Genomic DNA, 13,038 nt, shown 5'->3' with positions numbered 1-13,038 from the left:
GTTCAGCGTAATTACTTTCTTGGTTGGCAAGTTTTTGGGCTCTATCCTTGAGTTTTTTTATGTTGTCATACACCAGGCCAGACTGATTTAGGTAAAAACAACACTCCTCATTTAAGAATATGCAGAGTCCTCCTTTTTCAGCAGTAAGTCAAGGCCTCGGCGGTTTTGGAGGACAACTGCAGCTAAAGAGTCAACTTGGGCCTGGAGGACTGATAAAGTTTGTGATTTTGAGGGCCTCTAAAAGTATTAAAGCAGCAGTAGCCGCTGCACGCAGACATGAGGGCTAGGCTAAAACAGTAAGGTCAAGTTGTTTGGACAGAAAGGCTACAGGATGTGGTCCTGGCTCTTGTGTAAGAATTCCGACCACGCTAACCATGCCTAAGAAGGAGAGGAGTTGTTGTTTTGTAGAAGGTGCTGGGGTTTGAGAGATCAGTCGGACACTATTGGCAGGGAGAGCACGTGTGTTTTTATGAGAATTATGCCGAGATAGGTAACAGATGAGGAAGAAATTTGGGCTTGATTGAAGTAATGGGGGCTGTCTGTGAAGCTTTGCGGCAGTACAGCCTTGGTAATTTGCTGAGCCTAATGGATGTCAGGGTCAGTCTAAGTGAAAGCAAAGAGAGGCTGGGACGAGGGGTGCAAAGGAATAGTAAAGAAAGCATGTTTGAGATCTAGAACAGAATAATGGGTAGTAGAGGGAGGTATTGAGGATAGGAGAGCATATGGGTTTGGCACCACAGGGTGGAAAGGCAAAACAATTTGGTTGATAAGGCGCAGATCCTGAACTAACCTGTAAGCCTTGTCTGGTTTTAGGACAGGTAAAATGGGGGAATGGTAAGGAGAGTTTATAGGCTTTAAAAGGCCATGCTGTAGCAGGCGCGTGATAACAGGCTTTAATCCTTTGAAAGCATGCTGCGGGATGGGATATTGGCGTTGAGTGGGGTAAGGGTGATTAGGTTTTAATGAGATGGTAAGGGGTGCATGATCGGTCGCCAAGGAGGGAGTAGAGGTATCTTATACTTGTGGGTTAGGGTGGGGGGATATAAGAGGAGGATGCAAAGGAGGCTTTGGATTGGGAAGAAGGGCGGCAATGAGATACAGCTGTAGTCCAGGAATAGTCAGGGAAGCAGATAATTTAGTTAAAGTGTCTCAGCCTAATAAGGGAACTGGGCAGGTGGGGATAACTAAAAAGGAGTGCTTAAAAGAGTATTGTCTAAGTTGGCACCAGAGTTGGGGAGTTTTAAGAGGTTTAGAAGCCTGGCTGTCAATACCCACAACAGTTATGGAGGCAAGGGAAACAGGCCCTTGAAAAGAAGGTAATGTGGAGTGGGTAGCCTCCGTATTGATTAAGAAGGGGACGGACTTACCTTCCACTGTGAGAGTTACCCAAAGCTTGGCGTCCATGATGGTCTACAGGGCTTCCGAGGCAATCGGGGAGCATCAGTCTTCAGCTGCTAAGCCGAGAAGGAGTCAGTCAGAGAGCCTTGGGCCAGAGTTCCAGGGGCTCTGGGAGTGGCTGCCAGGTGAGTTGAACAGTCCAATTTCCAGTGGGGTCCCGCACAGATGGGACACGGCTTAGGAGGAATCCTGGGCTGCAGGCATTCCTTGGCCTGGTGGTCAGATTTCTGGCACTTGTAGCAAGCTTCTGTGGGAGGAGGTTCTGGAGGAACGCCTGGCCACTGCGGTTCAGGCGTTTGGAAGTTCTTGTGTGCTGGAGATGTGGCTGGGGTTTGTCTCACAGTGGAGGCAAGGAATTGCAACTTTTTTCTATTATTGTACACCTTGAAGGCGAGGTTAATTAAATCCTGTTGTGGGGTTTGAGGGCTGGAATTTAATTTTTGGAGTTTTATTTAATGTCGGGAGCAGATTGGGTAATAAAATGTATATTGAGAATAAGATGGCCTTTTGACCTTTTAGGGTCTAGGGCTGTAAAGCGTCTCAGGGTTGCTGCTGAACGAGCCATGAACTGGGCTGGGTTTTTATATTTGATGAAAAAGCCTAAACGCTGTCTGATTTGGGATAAAGAAAAAGGAGCATTAACCTTGACTATGCCTTTAGCTCCAGCCACCTTTTTAAGAATAAATTGCTGGGCAGGTGGGGGAGGGCTAGTCACAGAACGAAACTGTAAGCCAGACCAGGTGTGAGGAGGGGAGGTGATAGAAGGATTATAGGGTGGAGGAGTGGAGGCTGAGGAAGAATTGGGACCTAGCTTGGGCTGGTGAGGAGGGGAGAGGTCAGATGGGTCTGTAGAAAAGGAAGATTAGAAAGACTCAGCGACGCTTGGGGTTGGGACTGAGGGGACAGGCGGGAGGGAAAGAAGGAAGATTTGGGACGAGTTGCACTGGGCACAGAGACTAGGAAGGGACTGATGTGTAAAAGAATGCCTGGACGTCAGGCACCTCAGACCATTTGCCCATTTTACGACAATAATTATTTAGATCTTGTAGGATGGAAAAATTGAAAGTGCCGTTTTCCGGCTATTTGGAACTACTGTCGAATTTGTATTGGGGTCAAGCAGCATTGTAGAAGAAAATAAGGCATTTAGGTTTTAGGTCAGGTGTTAGTTGAAGAGGTTTTAGGTTTTTGAGAACACAGGCTAAGGGAGAAGAGGGAGGAATGGAAGGTGGAAGCTTACCCATAGTGAAGGAGGCAAGCCCAGAGAAAAGAGTAGAGACACGGAGAAGGGGTGGGGGGTTCTTGCCCTCCAGAAAAGCAGAGAAGGGGTTGGGGCACGGAAATAAGAGGTCAGGGTGCGGAAATAAGGGATTGGGGCGCAGAGATAAGAGGTTGGGGTGCAGAAATAAGTGATTGGGGGGTTCTTGCCCCCTAGGAAAGCGGGACTTGCTGCTGAGGGTGAAGGAGAAGGGGTTGAGGGGTACTTGCCCCTGCCCCAGGAAAGCAGGACTTGCCGCTGAGGGTGAAGGAGAAGGGGTTGAGGGGTACTTGCCCCTGTCCCAGGAAAGCGGGACTTGCCGCTGAGGGTGAAGGAGAAGGGGTTGAGGGATAGTGAGGGAGGTTGGAGAAGAGAGTAAAAAGAGGCCGCTTACCGGATTTGAAATTGGTGAGATGTTTCCTGGGCTGGTTGGTCTGAGGACCTGAGGTCGTAGGTGGATCTTTCTCATGGAGCAAAGAGCAGGAGGACGGGGGATAGATCTCCCAAGGGAGGTCCCCCGATCCGAGTCACGGCACCAAATTTCATACGCGTCCGTGTGAAGAGACCACCAAACAGGCTTTGTGTGAGCAACATGGCTGTTTATTTCACCTGGGTGCAGGCGGGCTGAGTCCGAAGAGAGTCAGCCTCAACTTTTCATTTGAACTGTTTATAACATCTGCCTGTGCTAAAGAAAACATTATTCTGAGACTTGTTAAACAGTAAGAAGACTTCATTCAGGACTATTTCAAAAGATGTGGAGACTATCTCAATAGGGGAGAGGGATTGGGCTCAACTCTGAATACAATAAAGACAGCCAGGGATTTATAGTCAATGAGCAGAGTGAGGGGCCAATGGGATGGAAAATGTACTAAGAGGAGACATCAAGGGTCGGGGGGATTTTTGCAAAACCAACTTGACAGGAATGTTACTAAAGGCAGGCCAGGGTGATCAGAGATCGAGGATTATCCAGTATATTTTGGGATTCTCTCGAAACTGACTTAGAAGAATTCTAATTTCACTAAAATTGGGTTATAAAGGTCTGGCAAGGATGGGGAATCAAAGTTGAGACCTAGTGGAAAAGAGGCTTAGAGAAGCCTGACTAAGGTTTGGTCAAGGAGCAAGATTTTGACATCTGGTTCTCTAATAATGAAGAAAAAAAATTTTTTTGAGACAGGGTCTTGCTCTGTCGCCCAGGTTGGAGTGCAGTGGTGCAGTCTCAGTTGACCGCAACCTCCGCTTCCCAGGCTCAAGCAATTCTCCTGCCTCAGCCTCCCCAGTTCCTCAGACTATAGGCTTGCACAACCATACCTGGCTAATTTTTGTATTTTTTTGTAGAGGCAAGGTTTCACCATGTTGCCCAGGCTTGGTCTGGAACTCCTAGGCTCAAACAATCCACCTGCCTCAACCTCCCAAAGTGTTGCGATTACAGATGTAAGCCACCACACCCAGGCAGAAAAAAATAAAAATGCTTAACACGTACTCATTTTTGTATATGTATGAAAGATGTGATTTTATCTTTTTCTGAAAATTATCTTTTAATACAGAGAAAGTATTTATTTGTAGTGTTTACCAAATATATCTAAGAGATATAGTGACTGAGTTATCTATTTGAAAGCTCCAAATTCTCAACAATGTGAGGAAAAGAGGTATGCTTAGTTGTTATATCAAAATATTCAAGTAGTCCAGGAATATATTTTATAAACAACAGAGCAACAAAAATACCCCATCATTTTTTTCATTACATAGATACTAAATTAAAAAAATAATTTTAATTAAAAGGAGACTACATGTAACTTATGAATGCAACTGACATTCATATAAGATGAACATTTCAGGAAATAGAAGTTCTTAAATGTTGATTATGCTATTTCCATTCAGTAAGAAAATAGTTACCATGGAAATACTGTATATGGTATTTCACTTCCACATAAAAAAAGCTTCTAAAAATGCATTTAGTGAACACTTGTTCTTGACATAGTTTGAAGATGCAAGTCACTCGTAGAGAATATGACATTTTAGCTTAGATTCATTGTATTAATTAGTATGGCAATTTAAGATTTTCTCATTTCATGATAAAATAATTTGAATAAAACTGACTTGTTTTAGGGATCTGTATAGCCTATATACATTATGTGGTTTTACTCCTAAACTAAGGCCAAATTACTTGGGCATCCCCTTTTCTCTTTTGATTCCAAGTTTTTCTTTAGAATGTCAGGTCCTTGTGGATTCCTATTTTGGTCTGCGGACAATCACATAAGGTTAATCAACTAAACATTATCTGATAAAGCTGTTGATCCCATGTCAGAGCACAGCTAGAAGTGCTGGAGTAGGGAACTGGGTTTCCTGAAAGTTTTCAGACTCAGAGTTCTTAGTCTCAATAGTAATTTCCCATTTCCACCCCTTTCTGGGGCATGCCATCACACATGTTTTAAGGATTAGCTTGGCTAAAGCTGGCCTCTGCCCCTCATGTTGCATTGAAGGCTCTCTAACCTCCCCTAATTTTGCTTTTCTATCATCAACACCTTTTCTAGCTGCACTCACTCCTCTGGAGCCCCTTATGTTCTGTCCAAAAACAATCACTCATCTCAGCTAGGAAATATATTGATCCTGGGTAAGGAAGTATCTATTAATTTTATGATTTTAGCTCTAATGTACCTTTGGGGATAAGAATGGATTGTTTAAAGTGTGGTTTCTCTGATGTTCTGTAGATCTTTCCAGGGCTGTTTAAATATTTACAAGCAAATGCAAAGCTGAGAGACCAGCAGAGGTGCAGTGTGGTGGAAAGAGTACAGCAGCAGAAGCCAGAAGGTATTCCAGCTCCAGCTTTGCCACTGTATTAGTCTTCTCATGCTGCTAATAAAAGCATACCCAAGACTGGGTCATTTATAAAAGAAAGAGGTTTAATTAACTTATAGTTCCACATGGCTGGGGAAGCCTCACAATCATGGTGGAGGGGAATGAGAAGCGAAGTGACATCTTACATGGCAACAGGCAAGAGAGCTTGTGCAGGGGAACTCCCATTTATAAAACCATCAGATATCACAGAACTTATTTACTACTAGGAGAACGGTATAGGGGAAACTGCCCCCATGATTCAGTTACCTCCACCTTGCCCATCCTTGACATGTGGAGATTATTACAATTCAAGGTGAGATTTGGGTGGGGACATAGCCAAACCACATCATTCCATCCCTGACCCTCCCTGCCTTCCCAACAGTCCCCCAAAGTCTTAACTCATTTCAGCATTAACCCAAATGTCCACAGTCCAAAGTCTTATCTAGGACAAGGCATGGCCCTTCTACCTATAAGCCTGTAAAATCAAAAGCAAGTACTTCCTAGATACAATGGGGGTACTGGCATTGGGTAAATACACTGATCCCAAATGGAGGAAATTGGCCAAAACGAAAGGGCTACAGGTCTCATGCAAGTCTGAAATCCGGTGAGGCGATCAAATCTTAAAGCTTTGAAATGATCTCCTTTGACTCCATATCTCACATCTAGGTCACGCCGATGCAAGAGGTGGGCTCCCATGGCCTTGGGTAGGTCTGCCGTGGTGGCTTTGCAGGGTACAATCCCCCTGCTAGCTGCTTTCATGGGCTGGTGTTGAATGTCTGCAGCTTTTCCAGGTGCATGGTGCAAGCTATCACTGGATGTACCATTCTGGGATCTGGAGAACAGTGGTCCTCTTCTCACAGCTCCACTAGGGAGTGCCCTAGTGGGGACTCTGTGTGGGGGCTCCAACCACACATTTCTTTTCTGCATTTCCCTAGCAGAGCTCTCCATGAGGGCTTTACTCCTCCAGGGAGACTCTACTCCTCCAGGTAGACTTTTGCCTGGACATCCAGACATTTCCAAACATCCTCTGAAATCTAGGTGGAGGTTCCCAAACCTCAATTCTTGTTTTCTGCATACCTGAAAGCCCAGCACCACATGGAAGCTGCCAAGTCTTGGGGCTTGCACCCTCTGAAGCAATGGCCTGAGTTCTAATGTTGGCTCCTTTTAGCCCCAGCTGGAGCAGCTGGGACACAGGGTATCAAGGCCTGAGGCTACACACAGCAGCGGGGCCCTGGGCCCAGTCCATGAAACCAATTTTCCCTCCTAGGCCTCTGGGCCTATGATGGGAGGGGTTGCTGTGAAGGTATCTGACATGCCCTGGAGACATTTTTCCCATTGTCTTGGTCATTAACATTCAGTTACTCATTACTTATGCAAATTTCTGCAGCCAGCTTGAATTTCTTCCCTGAAAATGGGTTTTTCTTTTCTATCACATAGTCAAGCTGTAAATTTTCCAAACTTTTATGCTGTGCTTCCTCTTGAACCCTTTGCTGCTTAGAAATTTCTTCCTCCAGATACCCTAAATCATCTCTCTCAAGTTCAAAGTTCTACATATGTCTGGGGCAGGAGCAAAAAGCTGCCAGTCTCTTTGCATAGCAAGAGACCTTTACTCCAGGTCCCAACACGTTCCCCATCTCCGTCTGAGACCACCTCAACCTGGACTTTATTGTTTATGTCACTATGAGCATTTTGGTTAAAGCCATTCAACAAATCTCTAGAGAGTTCCAAACTTTCCCACATCTTCCTGTGTTTTGAGCCTTCCAAAGTCTCTAGGAAGTTCCAAACTTTGCCAAATTTTTCTGTCTTCTTCTGAGCCCTCCAACATACTTACCTGTTGGAGGTACTGGGTAACTGACTGTTACCCAGTTCCAAAGTTGATTCCACATTTTTGGGTATATTTATGGCAGAGCCCCACTACCTAGTACCAATTTACAGTATTGGTCTGTTCTCATGCTGCTAATAAAGACATCCGAGACTGGGTAATTTATAAAGGAAAGAGATATAATGGACTTACAGTTCCAATTGGCTGGGGAGGCCTTACAATCATGGCAAAAGGTGAATAAGGTGAAAAGTCACATCTTACATGGCAGCAGGCAAGAGAGCTTGTACAGGGGAACTCCCATTTATAAAACCATGAGATCTCATGAGATGTATTCATTAATGAGAGAACAGTATGGGGGAAACTGCCCCCATGATTCAATTATCTCCACCTAGCCTGCCCCTGACATGTGGGGATTATTACAATCCAAGGTGAGATTTTGGTGGGGACACAGCCAAACCATATCAGCCACTGACTAACTGTGGGACTTGGGTTATGTCAAAGGAAAAATAGAGCTTGATAATTCTTAAAGTAGTAGAAAACAGATTTTATTCAGGGCCATAGTGGTAGGGAACAAGAGACCTCAGTATAGAACTGGGCTTAATTCCAAATACAGCAGGGGAATGTGGAATTTATAGCCAAGAAGCAGGATGAGGGGTCAGTGGATGGACAACTACTAAGAGGAAATTTCAGGGGGGAAGGGAAATTCTTGCTAAGTTGACTGGACTGGATTCTTGCTGAAGGCAGGCGAGGCTGATTAGACATCACTGGGGGATGGTGCAGGGTGAGGATGTAGGAGGTGATCATATGTGGAGTATGGAGGTTCATGCTAAGCTGACTTAAACAGTTCCTGCTAAAACTGGGCTTTACAACAAAGTACACAAATGGGCCTAGTAGAAGGTTCAAGAATGTGGCTAAAGTTTGGTCAAGCAAAGAATCTTTGTCAGTAAATCACCCCATTACTCCCACAAAATGAGAGGGCTGGAACATTTCTTTGATTCATTTCTTGTATTAACGTTGAGAAGACTCTAGATATCAGAAGGGAAAAAGGAAATTAAAAACATAAGCCAAAGTCTTCACCATGCACAATTTTCTAGTTTGTGATAACTCATTCCATAAAAGCAATTAACATAGTTTTGGGCTTGTGTATAATTTTGAATAGTAGAGAATGAAGGGGAACGAAACATTTTACCTCCTAAATGCTCCTTGAATCTGTCACTTAGTCCCTGCTGTCACTGCCCCATTTCAGCCATCATCTTTTTCCTGCACTAGCAGCTCCCTTCTTAAGGGGTCTCCTTTTCCCTGCTACTATGTCCCCTTAAACTCATACTCCACATAACCATCCAAGCACCAGGCCTGCTTAACATCAGGCACTTATTTCCCAATAGATACAATATTGTACTCAATATTTCCTCCCCAAATCCTGTCTGTGTGCTACTAGCTCAGTGCAGAATGCCAATATGTGCAGAGTTGCCCAACAAAAACTGGGAGTTGACTTGGACCCTTACTTCTTTCTCATTCCAGAACCTTCTCCATTCAAATTAACCAAGTCCAGTTGATTCTCTCCATCCTTAATGTCTCTAAAATGTGTCCCCCATCCCCTCTCTTGATCCTGCCGTTACTTCAGTCAAAGCCACCACAGTCAGTCTCAGTTATTGCTGTTAACAGCCTCCATTCCAGGAGCCACTCCCTTTAGTCTTTGCCCTCTTTTCCCCTTTTGTGGAAATGCAGATGGGAGATCGTGATGCCAGATGAAAAGCTTATTTCATTACTCATCCACTAAAGGCTTCTTTTCTCAAAATGGACCAAATGCAAGCTCCTTACCATGACAAACTCAGTCCTCCAGGGCCTGCCTCTCCACCTCTTGAGGCTCATTTCTTGTCTCTTCTGGCCTTATACTTTGTTTCACCAGGGCTTCCCTGGTTCTTTTTCTTCCTGTTTTCCTTTAGTCCCTTATTTATAGGCACAGCTGCTTAAAGAAACCAGATGACCTGGCATGGTGCCAGGGCTTCATGACCCCTGACTGGATACCAGGGGGAGATAAGACCCCCAAACCAACCCAAACTGGAATAGATGACTTCTAGTTGTCTTTGGATCATTACCATATCATTATAGTGCTGAAATTCCCTCTCCAAAATGAAAATCTCCACAATTTTATATACATGGGTTGCATAAAGATATATGTTTATGAATTGAGCTTGTGTGCCTGGCACCCTGCCCTGAACATGCTAACACTCCTCTGCTCTCCCTGTACCAAGTCATAAAAAATTCCATGCCTTCTGTTGTTTGGAGAGTAGGGGTCTTTAGAGTGAAAGTTCACTACTTCTCCATTTCTGGACAGAAATAAAACATGCTTGCCTTTTGTTCCAATTGGGTGTTCTTTATTTGCAGCCCACACAAAGTAGGGAAAGAACTCAGTTTACCAGTGACATCACTCCTAGTAGTTCCTTCAAATACAACCCATAAAATTATATATTTTAGGTCTCTGCCAGTAAGATGGGATAGTTCCCTTGACCCCCTTGTAGGACTTGTGAAGCGGTGGCTTGCTTAATCAGCCCACAGCTTTCAAACCCTTTGCGGGAGGGGAAGCATGCAGGTGAGCAGGTACAGAGGCTGGGATGAATGCTACTGGGTGCTGGCAGGAGTGGAACTCTGTGTGGCCCCATGGCAGCGTCTAGGGGTTGCCTGTGACCCCTGGAGCCCCAGAAGATGTATGTTACAGTGTGCTCCTTTAGCTTTGTCATCCGTGGATGGCTTAAGTGTTAAATAGCTCAGTGGAGGGTCAGTGTGACAGCCCTTCGCACCTGCACCCAGGTCTTTGTCCAATGTCCAGGAGGAATGAGGTCACATGAACAAATTTGAGGGTGGTGAATTCAGAGGATTTTACTGAGGGTGGAAGTGGCTCTCAGCAGGATGAGGAGCTGGAAAGGGGATGGAGTGGGAAGGTGGTCTTCTCCTCTCTGGGGAACCCCTTTCTGATCGTCCGCAGCTGAACCTCTCTCCAACAGTAGTGTCTGATGTCCAGCTGCTGCTTCTCCTGACCTTTAGATGCTTCTTTTCTTTTCTACTGCTCTGCTACACCACTGTGCTGCTCTGTTGCTCTGCTGCTCTGCTGCCCTTCTGCCAGTGGAAACTGGGGGTTTTATGGGTACAAGATGGGGGGCACAGCAGGCCAGGCACCATTTGGGTGGGAAAACAGGAATGAATGTTCTTACTTAGGGCCATGGGTTCAGGCTTGAGGGCGGAGCCCTTGCCAGGGACCACACCCTTTTCGACCTAGTATTTCCCTGCCTCCTGTCCATATCACCAGGACTAGCCTTCTAGTCTCTCAGTCCTCAGCTCAAGTGTAACTTCTTTCATGCTCTTCCTTGACCCCTCTGCCTTGGGCCACAGGTGCTTCTAACCTGCCTAAAGTGTTCTACCCACATTTTTATCCCTGCGCTCATGGCCTGGGATTGTATAGTCATCTGCTTGCTTGTCTCTTTCCCTACTGGGGTTGTGTGCTCCTGAGGGTGACACCATTGCCTTCTGTCTGGCAGAGGGAACAGCATATCACTCCTGAAAGAGGACCCAGCCTTGGTAGGCTTGTGAAACTGAAGGAAATTTGGTGCAGAAGTTGCTCAGAGTTGTGGGAAGGGCTTAGGATATGAAATGAGACTCATGAGGTGGGCAGTGGCCAGACTCTGAGAAGCCTCATAAGTTGTGGACCCATTTCTGAACTATTTTTCCTCTTGTTAATATCAGTTGTTTGGCTATGTTACAGACAACATTGAGGCAGATAATAAATGCCATGATTTTTGTCTTTCTGGTAGAGAAGCTAAGGAAATGATTTCCCTCTACATTTGGGGGAAAAAACAGCTAACAGGGAGTGGTTGTAAACAATAGAATTAATTGCCTCTCCTAGGACCATTATTTGGTGTCTATTTAAGGCTATTAGATTTTATTTTAATTAATCCGTGGAGTACCTCATTTGCATACATTTGCATATGTCTCAGTGAAGCCTTTAAGGGATTGAAGATGACTTCGGCTGATAACAAACCTTGCCTTCAGAGCCTAACATCATTGAAATAGAAGGTAGCTTTTCAAATAGCTCATAGAGAACAAAAGGAAGTACCTTAGGACAGAGATGTGGCACAGAGCTAAAGATTCTCTTTCTGGGGAGATCCTGGAGAAAAGGCCAGTTTCCTGAATAGGAGGGACTTTGTCCATCCAGAGTTTGCAAACCAGGTACCTTTGAGTGGCCCAACCCCAAGGATGCCTGTCTAATTGGGTAGCTGGTCGGATGGGGCTAAATTATTAACAGTAACACTAAGTTTTATTCTTTTCCACAATGGAAGACAGGAGCTGCCTTTCAGACCTGATTAAGGGACTTGTTATTCTGAGACAGAATAGAAACAGGACGTTGCTTCAGCTCACCTCCACTAGAGAATTCTTTCAAGCATTCCCATTCATCACAAAACCCACACCACTACCTTGCTGACACCATACCTGTTAATCCTGAGGCTTTAGTCATACAAAGAAAATAACCATTCTACATTGTTCTTCTTTGCTCTCGTAATGTTTAACCATACCTTTTACTTAAAAAAATTCCAGGAACGGGCCTTAGGAGATCCAATTTCTTTCTTTTTGAGGCAGAGTCTTGCTCTTTTGCCCAGGCTGGAGTGCAGTGGTGCAATCTCGGCTAACTGCATCCTCCGTCTCCTGGGTTCAAGTGATTCTCCTGCCTCAGCCTCCCAAGCAGCTGGGATTAAGGGCACTTACCATCAAGCACAGCTAATTATTTTGTATTTTGTAGAGACGGAGTTTCACCATGTTGGCCAGGCTTGTCTTGAACTCCTGATCTCAAGTAATCCACCCACTTTGGCCTCCCAAAGTGCTGGGATTGCAGGTGTGAGCCACCGTGCCCAGCCAAGATCCAAAATTTTGAACCAAGGTTGTGGAATGTCCTACCTTGAGAAGGAATGCTCAACAATTATTATTATTTTGAGGCAGAGTCTTGCTCAGTTGCCCAAGCTGGAATGCAGTGGCATGCTCTTGGCTCACTGCAACCTTTGCCTCCTGGGTTCAAGTGATTCTCATGCCTCAGCCACTGGAGTAGATGAGAGAACAGGCATGTGCCACCACACCCAGCTAATTTTTGTATTTTTAGTAGAGACAGGGTTTCAACAATTAATTTATAGCCTTGTTGCCTCCAGCCAGACCACCAGGTAGCCCGTTACTCAAGATAACCATGGCAACCAGATCTGCTGACCTGCATCTCCTACCTGTCCTGTGCTTTGCCCAGCCCAGCCAGTATACCCTACCCCGATGTCAATTCCCGCACTTTGCCTAATAAAAAATCCCAACTGGCTCTTTTTGGAGAGTCAAATCAGGGAATTCTCTCTCTCTATTGTGCTGCCTCTCTTATTCCCAGGCGTAAGTTCCAATGAAGCCTTGTCTGGGAAAACTCTTTTGGCCTAATTTCAATTTCTATTGTATTGACGGCCCAAGAACTGGTGGTCCGTAACAATTTCATGTCAATACCATATTTTCTTTTTGAGATTCAGGGTCTTCTGGGAGCTGGTAAACTGGAGCCCCATGGGAAGAGTAAATGAGGCCTCAGAAGCAGTCCTGGGGAAACCACACTCACCTGTGAAGAAACTATTGGGAAAGTTGTACGCCTATCACAATGTCTTAGCACTAATGTGGCTTAAGTAGTCTGTTTAGAGGAAAGGGAGGAGAAATCCAAACT

This window comes from Homo sapiens, chromosome 13 (genome assembly GCF_000001405.40).
Source record: "Homo sapiens chromosome 13, GRCh38.p14 Primary Assembly".
NCBI classification, from domain to species: domain Eukaryota; kingdom Metazoa; phylum Chordata; class Mammalia; order Primates; family Hominidae; genus Homo; species Homo sapiens.
This window is presented reverse-complemented; position numbering follows the sequence as displayed.